Raw genomic sequence first — 25,605 nt, 5'->3', positions numbered from 1 at the left:
TAATAAGCAAGAAAAAAATTGTGAAATGGACAAAGAACATGAATGGGAACCTTTCAAAAGAAGACATACAAGCAGCCAACAAATGTATGACAAAACATTCCACATCATTAATCACCAGAGAAGTGCAAATCAAAACCACAATGAGATAACTTTTCACACGTCAGGATGACTATTATTAAAAAGTCAAAAACAACAGATGCTGTCAGGGCTGATGGGAAAAAGAAATACTTATATACTGTTGGTGGGAACATAAATTAGTTCAGACACCATGGAAAACAGTGTAGAGATTTTCAAAAGAGCTTAAAACAGAGCTATCATTCAACTCAATGCTCCCATTACTGGGCATATACCCAAAGGAAAGTAAATCATCTACCAAAAAGACACATGAACTCATATGTTCACTGTTGTGCTAGCCACAATAGCCACAGACATGGAATCAACCTAGGTGTCCATTAATGGTAGATTAGATAAAGAAAGTGTGGTACATATGATGTAGATAAAGAGTGGTACACATGATGGCAACAGCGGTCTGTCTGGAGCGGCCACTGAGAAGATGTTGGCTGCAGTGTAGGAGGCACAGCTGGGGTTACATGCTCCAGGGGGCCAGCAAGAGCTGGAAAAGGTGGAAGCCCCGCCCCCTACTGAGTTGGTGGGGCAGGAGCCCCAGGCTCCCTAGTGTAGCTGCAGCCACCTAACTTTGGCTCTGGACCCAGGCATCCCTGCACTCTTGGGGGCCTGGGAAGCCCCTGCCCCGCAAGCTCAGAAGTGCCTGTTCCTGTTGTCTGGCCTCTCCTCACACCCAGCACCCACTCCAGTGTGGAGCAAAGTTGTGGCCAAGCCCAGGCATTGTTGCAAACCAGCCAGGTGTACGTGCACTTGGAGCTGTGCTGACATGCCAGCCCCTGCCACCTCAGCCCCCTCCAGACTTTGGGCACTGATGAGCATGGGAAGAAGGCCATCAGAGGCTGAGGGCAGCTTGGCACAGGCCTGCAGGCACCCCTTGGCATGAACAGCCTGGGCGCTAAGGACTGGATGTTGATGGTGGAGGGTAGACAGGTTTCTAGGCTGAAAGGGACAGCTCCCTGGTGAAACCACCTTTAAGCCATGAATGAACTGAAGCCTGGGGGCCTGAAGCGGGCTGCCTGTTCCAGGTAGAGTCCATGGCCTGGAATGAAAACATGTAGTGCTTTTTCCTGACCCACATATGGCCACCCGTGGATTGACCAGCATGTACTTTCTCCCTTCTGAGCCCATAGAAACTCCAGACTCACACAGACATTGGGACATCCTGCCTGTGGAAAGGAGCTACCCACTTTTAGTCTCCTGAGAGCTGTTCTGTCACTCAATGAAGCTCCTCTCTGCCTTGCTCATGCTCCAATTGTCCGCATACCTCATTTTTCCTAGACGTGGGCCAAGAACTCAGGACCCTACAAAAGGGGGGACTGAAAGAGCTGTAACACAAACAGAGCTGAAACATGCCCCCACCCTCTGCTTGCCACATTGCAGATAACAAGAAGGAGAGAAGAGCTGCGGCCCTTTGGGGAGCCTAAACATAGGGAATCTCTGAGCCACGGCTGTGACACTCTCTTTGGGGCTCTGCAGTTCCTGGCATCTTTAAGCTTCTGGGTGCCACTGCATTCCCTTCATCTAGACATGGGGGCCTGCAGCAGAAGCCACATGTGGTACATCTGGTCCAGCTACAACCTCACACGAAGCCAGCACCTATGCCAGAGCCTGGAGCTGCCTGCCCCCACATAGCAGCCAGCGTGCCTGGCTGTGTGCAGTGGCTAGACCCCACGCTCACTCACCCCCATACTCCTCCCCACTACATGCCTCCCTCAATCTTGGCAGGTGTAGGATCCAGGCTGGTTACACGAGCTGAGAGGAGCCTGGTGGGCTGAATGGGCGGAACAAGCCCAGCCGGTGTGAGCAACACTCAGGCAGAAGGCACCACCATAGATCCCATGACCTATATACACCATGGAATACTATGCAGCCATAAAAGAGAATAAAATCATGTCCTTTGCAGCAATGTGGACAGAGCTAGAGGTCATAATCCCAAGCAAATTAATTCAGGAACAGAAAATCAAACACCGTACATTCTCACTTATAAGTGGGAGCTAAATATTAACTTTAACAGAAGCATGGGAACAATAGACACTTTAGACTACCAGATCAGGGAGGGAGGGAGGGAAATCTACCTATTGGGTACTGTGCTCACTAACTGGGTGATGGGATCCATATCCCAAAACTCAGCATCACATAATATATCCATACAACAAACCTGCACATGTACCCCCCAGTATGTAAAATATAAGTTTACATTTAATAAAAAAGAAAACAAAACAAAAAATGATTCTTCAGCATGCAAATATACAATATTCTCTCGAAAAATACTCAGCCTCCATACATACTGCAGACTGTAAGGTTTATAGCAACATATAGAGCTTTCCACCATAAATTAGATAGAGCTTATAAAACAAAATAAATTTAGTTTTATAATTTCAAATTTCTTATAGCTGTACTAACTGGGTAGTTATTAACAGAGAAATCCTATTCATTTACATAAACACAATTTTCTACCCATATACACTTATTTGTGTACCCCTACTGTTAGCAAACAAAATATCAACATAGAAATTCAGGCACTTTGTTCTTAAATGTCCGTGTTTATGTACATTATTTTTCTGTCTTCCTGGAACTTAAAAGTATCCAGTACAAACTCACAAATCATTCATTACGCCTTAGGCAAGGGTGGTTGTAAAGTCATAGCTTCAGAAGAAGCCACTTCCTTATCAAAAAGTATCACTCTACAGCCATCTGCCTGCTTACAATTACGTCTGCCTAGACATGTTTTAAAGGAATAGCAAACTAAATATGGAAGAGGAGATCAAGGTAAGAGACATTACTGGTAGTCAATAAAAGGTTACCAAATAAAACATAAAACAGACATATACCACAAAAGAAACAATAGAGGATGCTATCTAGAGCAAGGGACAATAATGAGGCCCCAATTAGATATTATTAAAGCATTAAATAGAACATATGATAAGAAAGCTGACATTATTACAACCAACATAAATTGAATTTTTTGCTATGTTAAGGAGAAAAATTATAGAATATTTTACTGAATATTATTATTAAAATACTTTTCCATATTCTCATATTCTTGGATAGACCTCCTTATGGCACTCTTAAATCAGCATTGTACAATTTTTTTGTCTCACTTCCCTCACCCTCTACCTTGCCTGTATTCATATACACTTTTCCATTTAGCAACTCTGCTTTAGGAACTGTTCTTGCTATTGAAGCTCAAGAAGAAAAAAATGATATAGCCCAAAATTCTGAAAAATCAATCTTTGGGGCAGTGATGCAGGGAAATAAATAAGAACAATAAATGGTGGGAAAGTATTACCATGGAAGCAAGTCAAAACACTTGCATTTGGGCTTATCATTCATTTGACCTCCAACATTAAGAATATGTTGCATAGGTAGGAAATATAAAAGCACTGTAATCTCAAATGTAAAATGTGGCTGAATAACTTCAGTTTAAAGTTGTATAGCGAAAGAGGTTTATTTTGACATACTTGAAACCTACAGAAAAAAAAGTGTATATCCCCCATACAACTAAATTAATAATCATGAAATGAAACAAATAATAATGTGGGTTTAAAAAGTAGACATTGAATTGTTCATTGTACTGAATTACACATACCTAGCACACAACACCTGCAACACAGAGACATAATACGATGCCAAGGAAAATTAGATAAAATAGATACTGCAATTCAAATAAAATACATGCTGCAATTCAAATAAGAAAAATAAAAACTAAATTGATGTTTTTATTTTATTTTATTTTTTGAGACAGGGTCTCACTCTGTTTTATTTTATTTTTTGAGAGAGGGTTTCATTGTAGCATGGAGTGCGGAGGCACAATCACAGCTCACTGCAGCCTTGACTTTGTAAACTCAGGTGATTCTCCCACCTCAGCCTCCAGAGTAGCTGGGACTACAGGGGTACACCACCATGCTGGGTTAATTTTTGTATTTTTTTGTAGAGATCTGGTTTTGTCATGTTTCCCAGGCTGGTCTTGAACTCCTGGGCTCAAGCAATCCACCCACCTCAGCATTCCAAAGTTTAATTACATTAATCTAACTTACCGGGGGTGGAAACCCATGAGAAAATGCTTCAATAAGAGTAAACGCCACAAAATTCAGATTGATTTGCATATCGAATGACAGAGTTAAATAATTCATTTTGTTTGTTTTTCCCATCTGTAAAATCACTGTACTACAATTGCCTATTTACAATCTGTTATTTTAATGAAGGAGTATGCAGTGCCACAAGGGTTGGAGACATCATCTGCGTCTCGAAAGACATCTTCTACCACATGAATTAATTCTCAAGCAAAAAAAAGTCACAAAAAAAATCAAATGTAGCTAATTCTACCCATGTCAAGGGCTGATTGTATAACTGGAAGTACTCCAAATTAACATCCACGTAAAATGATTACTAAAATATAAATAATTAATATATACTACTTAAAGATTAAATACATATTATCAATACTCAACCATAACGTAATGGGGTCCTTGAGATGTCACTTCACCAGCTGGAAACCTCTTTGGCCACTGGTGCCTTCTGTCTGAGCATTGCTGACACCCTCCGGGCTTGTTCTGCCCACTTTGCCTGGCAGGGCCCACCCCTTTCAACACAGGAATGTGTCTGCCTCCTGCCATCAACACTCCACCCATGGCACCCAGGCTGTTCATGCCATGAGCTGACTGCAGGCCCATGCGAAGACTCAGCCCTCACTGGTCTCCCTCCCTAAGCTTGTTGGTGCCCAAAGTTTCAGAGGGGGCTGAGGCGGCAGGGGGTGCTGTCGTGTCTGTGCTGCCCTAAGCATGCACACATGTGTCTGGGTCACAACAGCACTCCGACTTGGCTTAATATGTGCTCCGAAATTGGATCAGGTGCCAGGAGTGAGTAGAGGCCAGGGAGCGAGAGCAGGCACTTTGGAGCCTGTGAGGGCATGGAGGGGCTTCCTGAGAGCACAGGGATGCCTGGGTCCAGAGCCACATCTGGGCAGCTGCATTTGTGTTGGGAAGCATGGGGCTCCTGCCCCTTTAATTCAGTAGAAGGTGGGACTCCCTCCTGTTCCTGGCCCCTGCTAGCTATATGGAGTGCACAGTCCGGGCTGCACTTCCCCTGTTGAAGCTGGCATCCCTGCAGTGACTGCACCAGACAGGCTGCGGATGCCATCAGTAAGAGCAGCAATTGCTTAGAACTTAAACCAATAAATGATAATTGGAGGAGTTTGTTATTGACATTGTTCAGAATTCCTGGCATATGGTCATATTAAAACTCAGACCTGTTTTTAGTTGCTATATTATTATTTTTAAATTCTCTATAGACCATGCACTCCCCATAGATCCACCGACAGTATGCTACTTTTGCACAAGAATAATGTCACTTTGATATCAGCTCTTTCTGGTTAGGCAGAAATTAATTCAAAGTCCTAGCATCATTGGGGCTGTCTTTTTTGTTTGGTAACATAAGAATCTTTTAATATTTTTCTTACAATCTGCTTTTAGTGGGATTTTTTTTGTGGCATAGTGTAGGCTCTTGAAGTCTCTCCTTGTCATGGGATCCTCAGGATGTCACTTTTCCATCTGGGAACCTCTGTGGCCAGTGGTGACTTTGCCTGAGTTTTGCCTGGGCCCACTGGGCTCATTCCACCCACTCAGCCAGGCAGCCTGCATTCAGGCTTGTGCTACTGCCCTGGATCTTGCACCTTCCAAGGGCAAGCCAGGAACATAGCAGCAAGGGGTATGTGAGCGAGTGAGCGTGGGGTCCAGCCAGGCATGCTAGCTGTGGTGGGATGGTCAGCTCCAGGTGCCAGCACAGGTGCAGGCTCCCTATGAGGCTGCAGCTGGACCAGGCACACTGCAAGCAGCTTCCACTGCTGGCACAGTGATGCCTGGTTGCTTGTAGATGCCAGCAACTGCAGAGCCCCAAAGTGGTTGTCACAGCCCTGGCTTGGGGGAGCTCCTAGGTCTAAGCTCCCTGAAGAACCACAGCTCTTCTCTCCTTCTCATCTCCTGCCACATGGCAAGCAAGGAACATGTTTCAGCCCTGTTCATGTTACAGTTCTTTCAGCCCTGCCATTCAGTGGGTCCCAAGTTATTGTCCCACATCCAGGAATAATGAGGAACATGGACAAGTAAAGGTTGAGCAAGACAAAGAGGTGTTTTATTGAGTGACAATACAGCTCAGCGGTGACCTGCAAGTGTTAGCTCCTTTCCACAGGAACATCATTCTGATGATTGTCCAGCTTTCAGCAGAGAAGAGATGCACAGTCTTTTCTGCAGGCAGGTGGCTCTTTTGCATGGGAAAGTTGTCCCAGTGTCTGTTCAGATCTCAGCAGTGAGGAGACCCATAGTGGGTAGCTCTTCCCACAGGCAGGTCATCCCATCTGTTCAGCAATCAGCAGAGAGAAGATGCACAGTGGGTAGTTCCTCTCCACAGGCAAGACCTCCCGACATCTGTTCAGTTCTCAGCAGAGAGGAGACCCACAGTGGGTAGCTCCTCTCCATAGGCAAGTCCTCCCCACATCTGTTCAGCTCTCAGCAGAGAGGAGACCCGCAGTGGGTAGCTCTTCTCCGCAGGTAGGTCATCCCATCTGTTCAGCTCTTGTCAGACAGAAGACCCACAGTGGGTAGTTCTCTCCAAAGGAAGGTCCTCCTGATGTCTGTTCAGCTCTCAGCAGACAGGAGACCCACAGTGGGTAGCTCCTCTCCAAAGGCAGGTCTTCAGGTCATCTCCCAAGTTTGGCTGAATCTGGAGCTTTTATGGGCTTCAGAGGTGAAAAAGTGTGTGCTGATTGGTCCATGAGTGGCCATGAGCAGGCCCAGAAAAAGCACCATAAGTTCTTACTCTGGGCCTGGGAACTGGCAGCCCAGCTCAGGCCTTCCCTGGCCTAGAGGTGGGGTTTCACTGGGAACTCACACCTTTCTGCCCAGGAGCCCATCTGCTCCCTGCCGCCATTAACCTGCCATCTACAGTGCCCATGGAGCCCAGACTGTTCTTGCCAAGGGGAGCCTCCCAGCCCATGACAAGCCACCCTTAGCCCCTTCTCTACCTTCTTCCCATGCTCATCGGGGCCCAAATTCTGGAGGATGCTGAGACAATAGGGAGCTGTCATGTCAGCACTGCCCCAAGTGAGTGCACACTGAGCCAGGCTGCAACAGTGCCCAGGCTTGGCCTCAACTTTGCTCTGAAATCAGAGCAGGCCTAAGGAGTGGGGAGAGGACAGATAGCGAGAGCAGGCACTTCCAAGCCTGTGGAGGCAGAGGTTTCCTGAGCCCCCGGGAGTGCAGAGATGTCCAGGTCCACAGTAGTGGCTGGGCAGTAGTAGCTGCACCGGGGAGGGTGGGGCTCCTGCCCCACCAACTCATAAGGGGTGGGGCTCCACCTGTCCCCAGCTCCCTCCAGCTCCATGGAGCATGCATCCCTGGTCATGCCTCCCCACTTACAGCTGGCATCTTTGCAATGGCTGCTACAAATGGGTCCCCGCTGCCATCGCAATGACCCATCTACCTTGTCTATTAGTTACATTTGTATTTTGTGTTATTGTATCTTTGGATTATGAAAACATCATCCACATCTTCCACCTAACCCAGTGATCTATAGCACATTCCTCTAAGTAAACACATTTCACCTAATTTATTTTTTGTCTGAATCTACGTTCAACATCTTAATCCACATTCTATTCTGTGGGATTCATTAATTGCCAATTAACAGTACAAATTTCTACAATGGAATTCTACTACTTTGTCTTGTCACTAGACATGTTTCTTTTATTTTTTTATTATTACATTAAAGTCAGGTATTTTATAACCGAGTCTCACTATATATTTATAATAATATGTATGGTTTGTTTCCATATTTTAAATGTATTTTGTGTTTATCATATCTCTGTACTTTGATATTTGAATCTGTAAGAATACACTAAGATATTTTTTCTGTCTGCATTCTCCTGAATATCACTGAGATCCCCCTCAACTGTTTCCATCCTATTCCTCTTCAGTATATAGTGTTACACATACATTTTGGTATGTCTGTAGCATTCAGCACCCATTAGTTCATGTTAATATTGTGTTCATTGTTTTTCTTGACAACACATTTATCCTTGGCTTTTGAGGTGGGCTATACTTAGGTAGAAGATTATTATTTGGTAATTGTAGGCTTAAATCAAGAAAAGCAATGCAAATGCTTTTCTCCGGCATCATCCTGTATCTCTGTTGACTATTCATTTCTTTCAATCTGTCCCCAAATCAGGACATTTAGCTTGAAAAAGTCAGGCATGTGTTCCTTGTTCTCTTATGTCTTTCAAGTACATTTAAATATTGCAAAGTTGCTACGGTGACTTTTCAGCAGAAAGCATTTCTAAGTTAATCAGAAAAAGTGGATAGTAGGAAATAGACTTGATATAAAAATAAGCATGATAATACAGAAAATCATTCCTATATTAAACTTAATTCGGTTTTGAATATCAATACTGGAAATACCAGTATAGCACACTGTCTGGTTTTCAGAATGCCTGCAATAAAAAATCACTCACATGATTAGCTGACTACTTCAAAATTATATTAAACCACATAAAAGTTTTCTTCTTAAGTATTATAATATATAATCACTTACACTGTTTTAAAGAAATAATGCTCTCGAAAGTTATAAAATACATATAACTTCAAAGTATATGGAGATATATTAAAACAACAGTGAAAATGAGTCAAATCTGTGGTTAAATTAATTCACTAACTAATTAATTATTACTGTGCTTCTGACCTTTTAAAAAATAAATATCCAGATCTTCAGACCTTCTAAGATGTTAAAAGGTTAAGATGTTAACCACTGGGTTAAAACCAGTGGATATGATAGTCAGATAGTGTAAATTATTTAACATTACAGCCTGGACTAACTCACTAGGTTGTAAACTCATGCAAGCCTGTGGTGGGACCGAATTCCAATAGAAACAGGATAAAAATTATATAATTTTAAAGCTGATTTATCAGTATAATAGCAATAAATATAGAATTTAAAGAGAGCTCAAAGTTGAGGAAGGCATTTCTCCCACTGCAATGTGCTTTCTTTTAAATCATTTTGAACATTGAGTTAGTAATATAACTTTGATATTACTTACAGCAGTGATTTTGTTCTTAAATAATAATAACTATTACTTAAAATATATAGACAAAGATTTGGGGTTATATTCTGAACTTTTAATACCTTGATGTTATAAATTATATGAGTCATTAGATCAATTTATGCCCTAAATATAGCCAGTTGGAATTCATATTTTTTCTATTTGTCTAGTTTTGAGTAGACTCAGTATTATTGACATTGTAGATAATTTTCAAGATCTGTTCTATCTCAGATGACCGTGTACTGTCTACACCACTCATGGTAATCTCATTTCTCTTCCCAAGAATTGAGCAATTTACCCAATTCTGACCAAGGAAATAGTGACAGTGAGTCAGCCATAAACAGGAGGAAATGATCTCTCTTTATCCTCTAGATATTACTATATGGCCTGGATGTGATGACGACAATCAACATCAAGAATGACAACCTAGAAAAAAATTGTATTGTTGATTATATCTCTTGAATCAACTACCTGAAACCTTTCTAAATCCTCAGATTTCTGTTATGTGTGATGATAAATCCTATACAGTTTAAGCACATTGATTCCGTGTTTCTATTATTTGTAGCTGAAATCATCAGAACAAGTATATCTGATAATAATAGGGAAAAAATAAATGTTTTTTTTCTTTTTTGTTCTACTGCTTTAGTACAATGTTCTTGAAAAGTTCAATGTTTTTAACTCCAAATATAATAGATTTACCTGATCCTGAATAATACTTTCAAACAAAATGAAGAGTAAAGTTAAATAAATATTTTTTTAATAAAATTTATTTATGTTGAACCTATTTACATTTATATTTTTAGTAGAAGTAGACAGTTATTTAACAGTTTTGTTTTTTAATGTAAGATGTACTGAACATAGTCCACTTCAGAAGTCTAAAAGGTCATAGAACACTACAGTGTGGTCCTGTAAAGTTCAAGATACTATTGATCTCCTAGAGCATTGTGGGTGCAGATTAACCAGTAAACTATGGTCATATTAAAATATAACTGGCATTTTTATTAATAGATTATAGAATACACAGTGCTACAAACAGCTTTCAGAAAAAACATTATATTTATACTGTTGCCTATGGGATCTCACAAAAATACTCATATTGTATATGATATTGTAGTGGAAATTATTAACATATAATACAAAATTATTTTATTTTAATAATGTCTTCATCAATTTGTTCAGTCTTTATTAACTTAGATTCAATTATCAACCTAATATTGTAAATTAAAATATATTTTCAACCTTGATAATATGTTAAACTATTTTTTACAAATATACAAAATCCAGAATAGAGTGTGTGTGTATGCATATGTGTGTGAGTGTGTGTGATTAATGCTTTTTAAATATTTTCAAACATATTTCTAATGTTTGACTTTTAAGATTTGGAAAAAAAAAAGTGAAGCAAGATATCTATATCCTAGCTAAATAATTCATATATTCACTGTAGAATATTTAATATAACAATAAACTTTACTTGACATATTGTCCTCAGTATATTTTCATTAAAATGGAATTCCCACTCAATCTCAGGGGATAGAATTATATCAGTTTTAGTTAATAAACTGAATTCTTTATGAAAAATCATTATAATGGCTATGGCCAACATGATTTGGTTACTTTCATGTAAATGTGAAAATAATTCTGTAAGTAATGTGAGTAGAAGTCATAAATATACATATTATCCCTCTTTGTGGTATTTTCATTACTGAGTTACTGAATTTTTTTTAATAAATGTTCTTAATGTTTTGATAACCAAACAAGAAAATAAACAATTGAGGTTAGTACATACATTAAAATGTATATAAGCTTATCTAGTTCAATGATAATATATTTTTCTTGTGTTCACTAGTGTGGAAAGTATTTCATCCAATGAAAAAAGAAATGACAGGAATAGTAGGGGCAGAATACAGATGCTGCAAACAAGGTACTATGTTGGAGATCTGATTTTGTTTTTCACTTACTAGCTATGAGACCATCAGAATATTATTAAATATCTCCGTGCCTCACTTCTTCCACAAAATGAAAATTTAAAAAGTATCTATTTAATAGCGTTATTGTGAGAATTCAGTGAGTTAATAGAAATAAAAAATAGTCCCAGTAGTATCTGGCACACAGTAAGGTTCAAACATTTTTAGATTTTATACATAACAAAACAATCTAGGTATCTCAGGTTTTGCTCTACATGCAGTGATTTAACTTACCGTTTATTTAAAAAGAATTATCAAACATATGCAAGAAAATTAAATAAAATATATCATTGTAATATGTAATAATGCTAGGGTTTGATGCATATGATTTTGTAAAAAACAAACCTGTGCACAAAAGTAAGTCAAATTTATTGCTTTATATTGTGGAGATATGACAATAACAGCAGTAGTTGTAAAAATAGTACTTTAAGATAGTCATAATAGGATTAGTAATAACAATAATATGAAAAATATATGTTCAATGCTTTCAATACGCATGCATGTTCCTAATATATATGTGTGTGTGAACATACGTCTCTTTGTGTGAATACACATAGGTAGGTATACACATGCATCTACATCTATATATACATTCATAACTAAACACAAAACACTCATACATGCACAGTACATACTTACATAAATACATACATCCATGTATTTATGTGCATGTACAGCCATGTTCACGCACATACGTATATACATAACTAAGGCATATATAAGATTTAACAGATTAATGTATGACTTTATCTGGTGTGTAGGTATGGACCACTGACATTATTTTATGTTCATCAATTAATAAGTAAACTTTAGGAAGACATTTATAAGACTGTTTCTTTTTCTTTATTATTTTAATTAAAAAGTTGTTGACATGGAATTTTACTTTTTTTAACAGTGAGTTGTTCACATTTTATAATTCTACTTTTTTTAGACTTGGAAAATTTTAAAATAATTTTTCTTTATATTATCTGTATTCCTGTATTCTGGTCTCTAATTCAGAAAAACATGTAATTTTTAAGTTGAATCAACATTCTTTTTCCTTCACACTTATATATCCTCCAGTGATGCCCATCCCATCCTACTGTTTTTCTTCTCCTCTTCCTCTCCTTTCCCTTATCCTCTTCATTTTATACTTCTACCCTCTCATTATTCCTAGGTATCAATAAATTAGTTTCACACAATCTCAAGTTTCACTATTATTTATAATGTAGAGTTAATTTTCTTTCAAATTTTGTCTCTTGATTCCCTATGTCATTATGTTGTTTTGCAAAAAATCATGTTCTCTTTTTTATTTGTGATTTTCTGCTTGTGTTTCTTCATTTACAAGCCTTCATATGTCATAGTAATACATCTTCTTCTAGTCCTTGTAAGCAAATTTGAATATTATGTTTATTCTCTTATGCTTTAAGATTATTAGTTTCCACAACTTTAAGTCAAGATGAGTCTGAAGCCAACCAATTAAAAGAAAAGAGGGATAATGACATAAATATTTTAAATTTCTACAATGTAATATTTAATATTTTTTAACATTAAACTGTTGCACTGCGATGAAACAGTACAGAGAAATGAGGAACAGACACCAAAGTCATAACAAATTATTTTAAATCTTCAAGTTTCTTACAATAAAAAAACTTGCCATTTGAAAATGGTGAGAGTTAAATTTTAAATGTGTCTCTGCATTTACACATAAAAAATTCAGAACCAACATGAAAAAATGAATAAAACTGCAACAATTTCACTAGCGGGTGAGATAGTTTATTATTTGTGAGTAACATAAAATGTCAAAGTCAAACTATTGATTTTTAGAATGGAATTATTCATTCTATTACCTACTTTGCTATAAGACATTTCAATATAATCCTTTTAAGTTTTCTTTAAAGTCTGTCCTTGGAAGTAGTGGCAGAAATCCAGTTTTACCTAATAAAGTCATTTATTTTCCTACAAATTGTGGTGCTACCACAATAGTTTTCCCTTTGCCCGTTTTTCTTTGGTAGTCTATTTTAATGGTAGTAAAACATAAAGCAATAAAAGAAGCAATAATGAAGGAAGAGACACACAAAGCAATACTTAATAGATTGTCAGCTCATGAGGCAATTCACAAGCTGTGGCAAAACAAGTTCTATGCACAAAATAAATCAATACTTATTGTACCCTCTTTCCTGCTGCAGTGCAATTTTTCAGTGAACAGGATACTGTCAAATCTCACAGGCCTTGGACAATTAGGTGCTCCAGCAAGCAATATTTATTCTAAATAAGCTTCATCAAAGCTGAATCTGATTTCAGCAAAGCTTTCTTGGCAATTGGATAATCAAGATATGGTAAATGTGTAACTTGAATTGCAACACAGATACATGAATTAAAGACAAAAGCTATATGGATACTATGGAGGTTCCAAACATTGAGAAGGGGCAGCTGTAGGATAATTGCAAAGCATACAAAATGATGGGTTATTAAACACATTTGAATATCAAACACAAGCAATGTCTATCCCTTTTTTGGAAAAATGTAGGAACATGATAATTAGGTTGCCTCTGGCTTTTCCCCTTTCCTTATCTTCATCCCTCCCTTTTTGTTTCCTTCTCATCTTTTCATACCCTCTTCCCTTCCTCCTTCTTTTATTTCATTTTTTTCTTTTCTCCTTTCTTTCCTTCATCTTTTTTTTCTGTAATTTTCTTGCTTTTCCTATGATGAGATTTATAAACTCAATTCCAGCACTTTGGGAGGCCAAGGTGGGCAGATCACAAGGTTGGGAGTTCAAGACCAGCCTGGCCAATAGTCAATATGGTGAAACCCCGTCTCTACTAAAAATACAAAAATTAGCTGGGCGTGGTGGCGGATGCCTGTAGTCCCAGCTACTTGGGAGGCTGAGGCAGGAGAATTGCTTGAACCTGGGAGGCAGAGGTTGCAGTGAGCTGAGACTGTGCCACTGCACTCCAGCCTGGGTGACAAAACGAACGAAAGAAAAAGAAAAAGAAAAGAAAAAAAAAGAAATAGTTATCTGTTGCCCATCTGGCAAGATGCCATCACTACCTTCTGTGTCACTAAAAAAAAAAAGTCATTCTTGTTCTCACAAAACTACTATGCAACTGAAATTCAAAAAGTAAATGTAATAAATTTTAAAAGGTTAAATTTCTGGTAGTCATCTAGAATCCAGAGATTTTTATGAATGCTAACATATTTTATAATTTCATCACAAAACAACTTATTCAAATAAAAGGTCAGTGATGTTGTTAGGATATATGTATCTGGGAACAAATTTCCACTAATACTAATTTTAAATGATAAGCTGTTAGAAACGTAGGGCATGGGATACTCAGAGCAAGCAAGGATATTATAGAAATAGCCTAATAATTGTCAGTGGATCAGTCATCTCTCTGAGGACCTCTCCAGTTTCTTCTGCAAGATTCTGGACTCATGGTCCAAGTCATCTACAGTTTCTCATTTTTCTTTATTTTTTTAACTTCTGAAACTGTTAGGACCATAGAGCATAAAACATATGCAATAAGCAAAGATAGTACAAAAGTAGCCTTTATTTATCTTCATACTTCTGCTCTTCCCATGCTGTTTCAGAAATTCTAGTACCATCACTGAGTCTAGCTTTCATGAACTAGTTTAATTTTCACTCCTTCAAACAGTGTCTTAGATAATTTGAAAGTTTGACACACAGCTCACAGGTGCAGCATTTAAGCTTCCCCTGTTCTGAAAACTTTAGTACTGTGTAAGTGAAGAGAACCAAGACATCAGTCCATATAACATTTTAAGTTCATCTTATAAACAACTGATTTACTCTACCCCTGCTCAAAGCACTTAGCAATGAATGATGCATTATTTTAGAAAAAGAACAATAACACACTATGGTAAATCTCATAATCTGAATTAAACATTTCATTGGACTGAAATGGGAGAAAACAGCAAAGAGATTTGTGAATCTGAAGACACAGACAAGTGGGACTACTGGTTCACAATTAAGCAAGGGAGGCCAATGTGGCTCTGCAAAGATGGCTTATCAATCAATTGACAAAACAGTGGCAGCATATGGATATCAAAATAATTCAACTTTATTCAATCAATATCAAGTTTAATAAAGGGACTAATTACCAAAGTGTTCCTGAATATTGAGAAAGCACTAGGGCTTCTGCTGTACCCCAGAGGAATGCCGTTAATCACTCCAGACTCTAGGGAATAGAGGAGAACCATAAATACCAAAACCTAAAAAGATAGGTCCATATAATACAAAGGAGGTCACTTCAGTGGAGATACAAAGCCAATCTACCTGCAGGGACTCCCCAGTCTCTTGTAACTACTCAAGAAAGAATCCACAGCAATAAATAATTCAGCCTCTCTCTACTTCTTCCCACTGGTCCCTGGCTAGAGTTCTCTATGATTCAACCCAGACAGTAGTCAGAAGATAAATAAAACTATTGAAAGGTTCTAAACAGATTAGTTTCCTTGAATAAGAGCAGACATGATGAAAGTGGATAGAGAGAGGCAAACATAATGTCTACACAGATGGTGAGTAAAAGCAACTGGGCTCATTGATTCAAAACAAAACTTTAGGTGGCACACCTTGTCCAAGAAAAAAGCTCAAAAGCCTGAACTGATTACTGCTTGGGGCCCTAACTTATTGTATGAACGTGATCACTTTAGGCAGGCAAACCAGTTCTACATCCATAATTACTACCTGAACAAATAGATTATTGGTTGGATATTAAATCTGTAATACCTCTAATATTGCTGCAGAAAAGAAGCCCCAGGTAGATGCTATAACCTGGTTAGATTGAGAACTATAATGGGTAAGATGAAAGCAAGTCCACTAGGCAAAGAGGAAGACAGCTGGGAAGAGAGAGGGCAAATGCACACATAGACACCCATCCATTCAAGATGAATCTATAACAAATATACTAAAATCCAACAAGAATAATCAAAATTAAAGAAAAACACTCAATAAATAAACAATAGAAGATGTCTTTACTCTAAAAGACATATGAGTGCAATATAGAATGGTTTAAAATAAGTAAATTTAGAGTCCACAAAGAGATAAAGAAAAATATAACATCCATACAAATAAGAAAATATTGAATTGTATTAAAAAGGCATAGACTAGTAAGTGAAAATGTTAAATCTTCATAAATAAAAATATATGTAGTCATTTAAATAACTCACTAGACACTGCAATATCTAAGAACATCACAGTCAAATAGGGAATCCAAGAACTAAAATATGGTATATCTCCCAGAATATAGAGAAGAAAAGGAATAAAACCATGTCTGAGCCATCAATAGGCATCGCTCTGAAACTGACAGGCTCTAACATGTGTCTTAATAAAGTTCCAGAAAAAAAATAAAATAAAGGGCATAATGGGGAAGCTCTATTTTTTAGGGAAAAGTGAGAATTTCCTAGAAATATAATAACTGGGGTACTCTGATTAAAGATACAAACCATGTACTGGAAAGGTTAATTAAATCAAACCAACAATTAAATACATTGGGCTGATAGTACATAACATTCAGAATAAACAGAAAAAAATAGAGCTATCAGACAGAAAAAGCATATTTATATAGAAAGGAATAGCAATTAGGCTGACAAAAGACTTCTTAGGCAATACTAACACTTTCAGAAAATTAGGCAGAAAAATCTTCAAAATGCTTCACAAAAATAAGTGTTAAGCTAGAATTTTAACACTGCTAAGCTATCATTAAAAACTTAGTGAAAAATAAATGAATTTTCATATGAACAAACATTAGTATAGTTTAAAAGCCACAGACCATCACTGAAATAATTAACAAACAATACAACTTAGTAAGAGAATGGAAGAAAAAATTGCCGGCTTACAAAGTCTTCATATTTGTCAGATAAATGTAATTAACTCAAGTATAAAAATAACACAAATTATTATTTGTCCTTAAAAAGCTGAAACTAATTTAGAGAAAAAAAATATTCTGAGTGTGTGTGTGTGTGTGCGTGTGTGTGTGAGAGAGAGATGTGGCAACCAAGTCATCCAGGAGGATCACTGACATATGGTTTAATGATATTTGATGTAATTTTAAACTCTTCAGCCATAAAAATTTGAAAATAGTTTTCTTATTTATGTGATTTGTGGATCTATTCAATTATTTCACAACTACTCATCAGCCATTTTCAACATTTCATGTGGGTAGTGGATGTATAAAGAACCAGGGTGGCAAAGAAGGAGATCAATAATTTTTAGAAATTACTTTTTACCAGTCTTGCCTTTCATGTTTTAACTTAAGAAATACGTATTATTAAATGAAGAGAAAACTGAACCTCAGAAAATAATTCAATAATTTTTCTAAGGAACTACGGCTTATAAGATACGATTTGAAACTGTGTCTGTTCTTTCAGAACCTACAATCAGAACCATAAACAACAAATAATTATACACTATATAAGAATCTCACTTGTATGAAGTACTTTATATGTCAGCTAATTACTAAAGACTCAACATTTCATGGGCTGTATTTCCAGAAAAAATATGTATTCTCAGTGTATCTGCAAGAATATAGGAGTTGTTATGTATCCTTTGGAGACTCTGCCATGTTTTTTACTATATAAACTGCATTATATATATTTTCTGTCTCATAATACCATTTTTCACACAATAAAGGAAGGGTAGCAGAGTTGTTACATTCATTTTCTGCAACCAAAAGGGATGCTCCCTCACAAAACCGAGGGAAGTGAGTACTATATATTTGAAAGAGCAGGTATGAGGCTCAGTTATTTCCTCAGAAGAACTGGTACTAAATACAAAAATGGTGTCACTTAGATGTTCTGCTGACCAAGAAAGAAACTTAAATAGCAGATCTCACAATGTAGTCTCTAGGCCTACCAATTCTCGGGCAATACTATTTACAACATTAATGAATTAAATTCATAAATTATACTTATTATTTCCATAGACATAATATATCCTCTTTGACCTTGTAGATACATTGTTCTCTCTAGCTATTTATAATATATAATAAGCCACTTCACTAAGGAAGGTTCTTTGCCCTTTGGTTAATCTTCTACAATCTTGATCATTGCAGTTAAGTAGTATAACTTTCCAAATATCTCTTGAAGTAAACATTTTTCTTTTCTTCAAGGATCCATTGTAGCTTATCTCAAGAGTTTTTGAACCTTCTGAGGGGCTCCTGTTGCTTCTGGCAACTAAATTTCCTACCATGTTTTATTGTGAAGAAAAAGAAAATCATACATTTTCTTCTGCTAATTTGTTGATGGAGAGAAGTAATAACATTATTTCAATTATATAATCAATGATGATACTGTTCTGTTTAAATTCAATTGTCAAAAAATTAGCAGGTTATTATATTTTATTTGTAATTTATTATAAATGTGAACACAAACAGTATATCTTTCAGTGTCAGGCTTATTTCACTTAGCAACATGTCCTCTGGAGTAAATTTCAAATGTCTCACCATAAAATTGATAGGTAAGTGAAGTGATGAATATGTTAATTCATTTTATTGAATCATGCCACATTGAACACATAGATCAAAACATCACATTGTATGCTATAAATATATACAATTATAATTTATTAAACATTTTTTAAAATAAACATTAACACATAGAAAATAATATGTCCTTTGAGTTGTTATAGCTGTCCTAATTGATCTTTTTAAATTTACATCTGAGATAACTGGAGCCCTTATTTTGTAAAGTTGATTCTGTTGCCCTTTTAAAAAAAAACTTGAACTAGAATATACTGAAAATTAGTTTTCAATCCAAGAGATCACATTGCCTCAAAGCAATGAGTATTAAGAATGCTTGATTTTTCATTATTTTGAAATAGACTTAATAATTTGAAGATATTATGAAAACACAGATATTTTTATTTTGGTTAGATACATTATATGATAGCTATTTAGAAATTTTAAATAATTTTCACACAAAAAGATTTATTTTAATTCTCACAAGAATTCTCTTATATGTGAATTAACATATATGTTCTCCACACTACAGATAATAAGCTGAGATTTAAATGTATCTGGAACTGGATCAAGTTACAAATAAAACTTAGGAAAAAAGAAACTTAATTCGTATACATTTTTGATGTTAACTCTTTAATGGCATTTTCTAAATTTCCTAATATGTTTATGAATAGTGAAAGGCCCTTTTCATTATGTAATCCTGCTAGAGGGCAATTTTCTATCTATGTCATAATTATATTCACATTGCTTCCAGGATAATGTCTTTGACATAGTAGATCCTCGGCCCACAATTTCAGATGAAATATACCAGTATATGTCAATATGTGTGTGATAATTTTTCCCTAACATAGAATCTAACATTCTGGCTAACTAGGTCAAATGAATAATAAGACCTTTTAAAAACCATTAATTACTTACTGATGTTTCACAAATGCAGAATGTTTATGAGATGAAATAAAGTTACTGAAAGTTAATGAAAGTCTATACAAGAGATCTGAATCTTAAAAGACCAAGAAAACATTAGAGTGTATTTTAACAACTAAATACAATTCTAGTCAATAAATAATTTAAGCAAAAACAGTAAGAATGTCTTAAAGGCAACATTTATTTAAAATATAGTATAAAGCACTAAAATTCAAATTATAGTCAAACTCTTTTAAGTTTCTTACCTCAATACAATGCATTTTAAGGTCAATACATTCCACAAAATAAATTTAAATTCTCAGCTAATTTGGATTATTTGCCTTTCTATACCCTCAACATTATAAACACTTGAAAGTTAAATGCATCTTCATTATAACCAAAACCAAAATTTAGATGTAATTAACAAAAACTATGTTCCATGAAATTATCTTTTGGGACTATTTTCTAAATGGCCAGTTTTCTGCAATTCAATTTTTCTAGCAATGTATTTTATACACGTATATTTCCCTCAGCTGATATACTCTAAGTAGTGAATTCTGATATTGATGCAAAGAGAATAACTAATAAATTTCCCATGAACATGCACATTATGATAATACCGTGAAGGCAATATTAACATGTCAAGTTAATTTGCCTCCCTTGCCTCTAGCTAATTAGCAGAAATTATATTTTATGCTAATTTGCCTGAGATGATAGCACACAATTTGGAAATTCAGAATTTCTGCTGATCATAAGAAAACATTCACACAACTTGTGCAGGACAAAGTGACCACAAAATCATTTTAACATAGTGTTTAATACTATTACAGCTTATAATTAAAATATAAAGTGTAGGGATATAAATTTTTATATTAGATATAAATTGTACATTTTTCTATTTGCATATGTTATTCCTACTGTATTTGATTAGCTAAAAATTTAGAGTACATGTATTTTGAATCTGGTATAATAGATTATCATACTGTACTTGTAGATGTAACATACTTTTTGTTTTTCTGCATAGGCTTTGAAATGAATCTGTTTTTCTAGCTTCTGAAGGAAGAATACATTATGATACTAATTAATAAGGCTATTTTGAGATAATCAAATATGATATACGATATTAAAATCTATAAAAAAGTACACTGCATTCAATTAAGTTTTCTTATATACTGAAATTGCTCTACATGTATTTGCTATTGGGTAAAGGAAATGTTTGAAAAAAAGTGGTTGTATCAAATGTACAAATATCCTTTGGAAAGTAACTGTGGTACTCAGAATTTTGGTTACCATAATTTTCAATTTGTGGTGTTATAGCCACAGTTAGTAGCACAGTAAAAAGGATTTCGCAGATGAAACCAAATTTAATTGGTTGATATTAAAATAGAGAGATTATCCAGGATTATCAAGGTGGGTCCAGTGTAATTACCTGAGTCCTTAAATGTGGAAGAAGGAGGCAGGAAAGGAATCCAGAGGGATGTGATAGAGGAGGCGTCAATGAAATTCAAAGTACAAGAGGGACTCATGCAATGTCCCTTTTCTGGTTTGAAGATAGAGACTGGCCTCAGGAGAAAAAAAAATGCAGGCAACTTCCAGAAGCAGATAGCAGCCCCCAGGGGCCTGTCAACAAGAAAATAGGGATCTCAGTCCTACAACCTCAAGGAACTGCATTCAGCCAACAAACTAAATGAGATTGAAAGAGGCTTATTCCCCAGATCTTCCAGATAACAGCTGACCCATTCTGATACCTTGCCTCTGGTTTTGTGAGACCCTGAACAGAGAGAATCCACTTATTCTGTGCCAGATTTCTGACCTACAGAACTGTGAGATAATAAATGTATGGTGTTTTAATCTGTTAAATGTGTAGTATTTTGTTGTACAGCAAGAGAAAACTAATATGGTAACTCAATTACTATCTCCAAATTGGAATCCCAAAATTTATGAGTTCTTTCTGTAGATGAGCTTCTTAGGTGAAGAACTGATATTTTTCTCAGAAGAACCTGAGATACAGGCACAGAAGTATCATAATTCCATAAGGGATGGTGTCCTGTATATTATGGCATATCCATGGGCATCTTCATGATCACAAAATATCACATAAAACCAGCAATATTGAATCTTTAGTGCTAGTTCCTTATTGTCATCTGATATTGCTTATCTAGTACTACCTTTTAAAAAGCTTTGAATTATCATCTTTAAGAACTCTGAAATGTGTTGCCTGCAGTATTTTAAATGATTGTTTTAATACTAAGAGTTTGTGTTTGTCTTTGTGTAAATATTAATGTAGATCTCTGAAATATATATGATACAGCTTCAAATTCTCTATATTTGTGATTTAAAGAAAGTTAAACTAGTTGAATATCAGGGTGTGCTTCTTAAAAAATTATCATTATAATTAGATTTTAGAGATACTCTAGGATTCTAGTATACTACGCTGGTTTTTAGTTCTAAAGTATTTCCATTCAGAAATGTTTACACCAATTATTGCATTAGTTAATTAATATAGAAAACACATAATTACAGTCTTTAAAATATAAAAACCATGCCTACAAGAGCTGTCGTAAAGACAAAATATTGTTGTATGATAAAACAGCCACTGCCATAACAAGCCTCCCTCTGTCCCAAACACTTTCTGAACAAGAATAATGTAAACATGATAGCATTGAAACTGACACTAGTGACAGTATCAAGTTATTCTTCTCTGCATGATGCAGCTAAAGAACATGAAGATGAACTGAGAAATCGATGTTGTAGCTGCAAAACAATAAAGAAAAAAAATTAAATTTCTCCTTAAAATAATCAATCATATTATGAGATTATTAAAAGATGAAAAATTTGAGTAAAGAAATGGGAATAGGTTTATCAAACTTACAAATAGTTTAGGATCAGAATTACTAAGAGGAAATACATGTTCTTCATATTTAAGGTTATAGTTAGAATTATAAATAACATTTATTTTATGTTGAATTATGTCCATTTTACTTGTGTAGATTATTAAGCCACTTGTTTAATATTGTGTAGTTTATAATTTATACTCTTCAACATACATGATGAATATCTAATTCAATCCTTTATAGTTCCATAAAAATTTCTGACACACATAATTTTGTTCCAGTGCTTATTTATTTCCATTGATTTACTTAAGCTTTATAATATATGAACATTTCTGAAAGCTAAATACTGGTATTGATACAAATAGTGTCATTTAACTCTAGTTTGTTTCACTACTATTCTTGAAAACCTAAACAATTTTCTTCACAAATGAGGTAGGCAACAATAATAAAACATACAAAATAGTTTTTGTCTACACAAAAGAGACAAAGTATATATTCAAGCCAATTTCATGAAACTAGAACTTGGTGACTTCTAAAATTATTTCTTATTATCTTCCATATTCTTCTAAATTCTTCTGGGAAGTTTCCTTGTCAGCATCTTCTGTAACCTTCTTTCCTATAATCATTTGCTCTGCTTTTTGAAAACTGTTGAATTAAGCTTTGTGCTATGAAGGAGACTGAGATTAATACTGGGTTCCCATAGCAAGCGTTCTTTCATACGAGGGCTATAATCTATTTGTGATGTCTGCCTAGGGCAAAAGACAATGAGTCTGGCTGAGTCCTGAGTTTTTATGGGCTTCAGAAGGGAGGAAATGTGTGCAGATTGGTCCATGGGTTGCCATCGGTGGGCCCCAAACAAAGGCACCCTAAATTCCCAATCTGGGCCATGGACTAAACCCAGAACTGACAGCCTGGCCCCCATTGCTTCCGGCCATCCCTGGCTTGAAGGTGGGGCTTCACCAGGAACCCACCTCTTTCCACCCAGGAGTCTGTCTGCCTCCTACTGCCATCTACTTATCATCCATGGCTCCCAGGTTGTTTGTGCCACGGGGCACCTGCAGGCCCACACCGAGGCACCCTCCCCCATCCCTACCACCCTTCTCAACACCCCCAACTCCCTCCCATGCACAGTGCCCAAAGTCTAGAGGGGGCCCAGGTGGCAAGGGAATGGCATATCAGCACCACCCGGCACGTGCATACCCAGCCAAGCAGTGACAGCGCCCAGGCTCAGACACAACTTTGCTCTGAAATCGAAGTGGGTGCAGTGAGCAGGGAAAGGCCAGGAAGTGGGAGCAGGCACTTCCAAGCCTGTGAGGGTATGGGGGCTTCCCAGGCACCAGAGAGCACAGGGATGTCCAGGTCCACAGCCATGGCTGGGTGGCTGCAGCTGTGGCCAGGACAGCAGGCCTCCTGCCTGTTCCTGACTCCTGCCAGGTCCATTGAGCATGCAGCCTTGGCCATGCCTCCCACTCTGTATCCAGTGTCTTCACAGAGGCTACTCCAGAGGGGCCACTGCTGCCATCACTAATACTACATCAATGATAAATATCTTGTATGGTAACCTAATAAAATGCATATTAGGTAAATTTTCTACAGAAAGCATTCTAAATACTTATGAAGTTTTCAGATACTGTATGATTAACAATGAATTGAAAGGAAAAAGATAATGCATGGTTCAAAAATACTTGATGTATTAAATAAAGGGTAGTCTCAAGGTTAGGTGGCATAACATCTTCAACATCACTTTATATCATAAAGCTCTTATTTAATTTTTCCTGAGGATGTATATGTTCTGATCCTAAGTTATGATACAATTTTAGAATAATTTTTAAAGGTACAATTATTATTTTACTATGCATTTTCACATAACCATTAAAATTATTTTGGTATGAATTTCAAGTAAAGGAAAGTTAACCTCAGCACCAGCAGAGTACTGGTAGAAATTTCTAATATTTTCCTGAATTAAAAAGATAGTAAGATAAGTAATAAGCAAATACTCACTGAGACACCATTCAAATATTTCAAAGTATTATCCAGTTGATGATACGTTTCTCAAATAGCCAAGTAGACTAATGAGTTATCTCAATGGACACTTATATTTTCTTTAGATAATTTGGGTAGTCACACAAAGAGGGAACTTTATTATGAGTCTTTAAGCATAAGAAAAATCTGACGCTTCCTGACAGTTCCAAGGAATGAAGTATATAGTCTATTATTACATCATTCGTAAACCTGATTTCTGATCAAATCATCTCAAAACCTCAGTCTCTGTGGAAAATACAAAACGAACGTAGTCAAAAACTCCATATTGATGACACAACAGGTAATGTTGCTATTTCAGTATGTATAATAGCAACAGAACAAAACATTCAACCCAAGTAGATACATTCCCTGGATTTTTGGTAAGCCATTTAAAAAGAGTACTTAACAAAAGAGCAAACGTAGTCATTAAAACACTTGAGACTAAAAAGTGTTTATTAAAGAATTGTCGTTAAACTGAAAGTTCTCCAGGGTTGTGCCCCAAGAATCAGTTATTGAATTTGTTCTCTTCAAAAACTTTAATATTTGTTTTAAAAGAAAATCCAGCAGGCTTATTTTTCAAGCATGTAAAATGTTAAAATTAATTCCAAATTATATACTGGAAAGGAGAAACTGGAGTTTAAAAATGTTGGTGGAACAACAGTTTCAAATAACATGTTAAAATTTAATAATAACTTATATCATCTTGAGAGTGATGAGACAGATTAATTCCTAGACAGACAGGGACTGGTCCCTGGTGAAACCCCATCTTCATGCCAAAGACAGTTGAATTCAGCCTGAAAACCAAGCTGCTGGTTCCGGTAGAGTCCATGACCAAAGTGAGAACTTCCATCCCCATCTTACCCTCTCTCTTCTCTATTGGTTCCTTCTAGATTATGCTTTTTAACCAATTGAATGGTGCTTTTTCCAAGCCTACTGCTGGACCAGTCAGCATTCTAAGCCCATACAAACCTCTGGACTCAGCTTCGTGGATGGCTACCCCACTTTTAGGGTCCTCTCTCACAGCTGAGAGCTTTTCTTCTGTCGCTCAATAAAATTTGCCTTTGCCTTGCTCACTCTATAGTATCTGCATAGCTTATTCCTTTTGGTCACAGTACAAGAACCCGAAACTCACCCAGCTATGGGCAGCAGGAGCAAAAGAGCTGTAACACTCGCTGAGCTGTGGTTGGTGCGAGTGAAAGAGCTGTAACCCTCCCTTCCTA

The 25,605-nt window shown here is 36.4% G+C and overlaps 1 protein-coding gene across 1 annotated transcript in view, besides 2 other annotated features; it reads right to left on the bottom strand.

The window, feature by feature from the left end:
* ZNF804A (zinc finger protein 804A) overlaps positions 1-25,605 on the bottom strand; it is a 340,964-nt gene that overhangs the window by 252,593 nt on the left and 62,766 nt on the right. The gene's annotated exons all lie outside the window — the stretch shown is intronic.
* Positions 345-848: an enhancer, noted in NCBI's record as "H3K27ac-H3K4me1 hESC enhancer chr2:185550779-185551282 (GRCh37/hg19 assembly coordinates)". NCBI's record gives its function as "activates a minimal SCP1, AML or CMV promoter by ChIP-STARR-seq in naive H9 embryonic stem cells {active_cell/tissue: H9 hESC(naive)}" and the evidence as "EXISTENCE:reporter gene assay evidence [ECO:0000049][PMID:30033119]".
* Positions 849-1,354: an enhancer, noted in NCBI's record as "H3K27ac-H3K4me1 hESC enhancer chr2:185550273-185550778 (GRCh37/hg19 assembly coordinates)". NCBI's record gives its function as "activates a minimal SCP1, AML or CMV promoter by ChIP-STARR-seq in naive H9 embryonic stem cells {active_cell/tissue: H9 hESC(naive)}" and the evidence as "EXISTENCE:reporter gene assay evidence [ECO:0000049][PMID:30033119]".

This window comes from Homo sapiens, chromosome 2, assembly GCF_000001405.40.
Source record: "Homo sapiens chromosome 2, GRCh38.p14 Primary Assembly".
Classification (NCBI taxonomy): domain Eukaryota; kingdom Metazoa; phylum Chordata; class Mammalia; order Primates; family Hominidae; genus Homo; species Homo sapiens.
The sequence above is the reverse complement of the archived record's forward strand: the minus strand, read 5'-3'. Positions and strand labels throughout refer to the sequence as shown.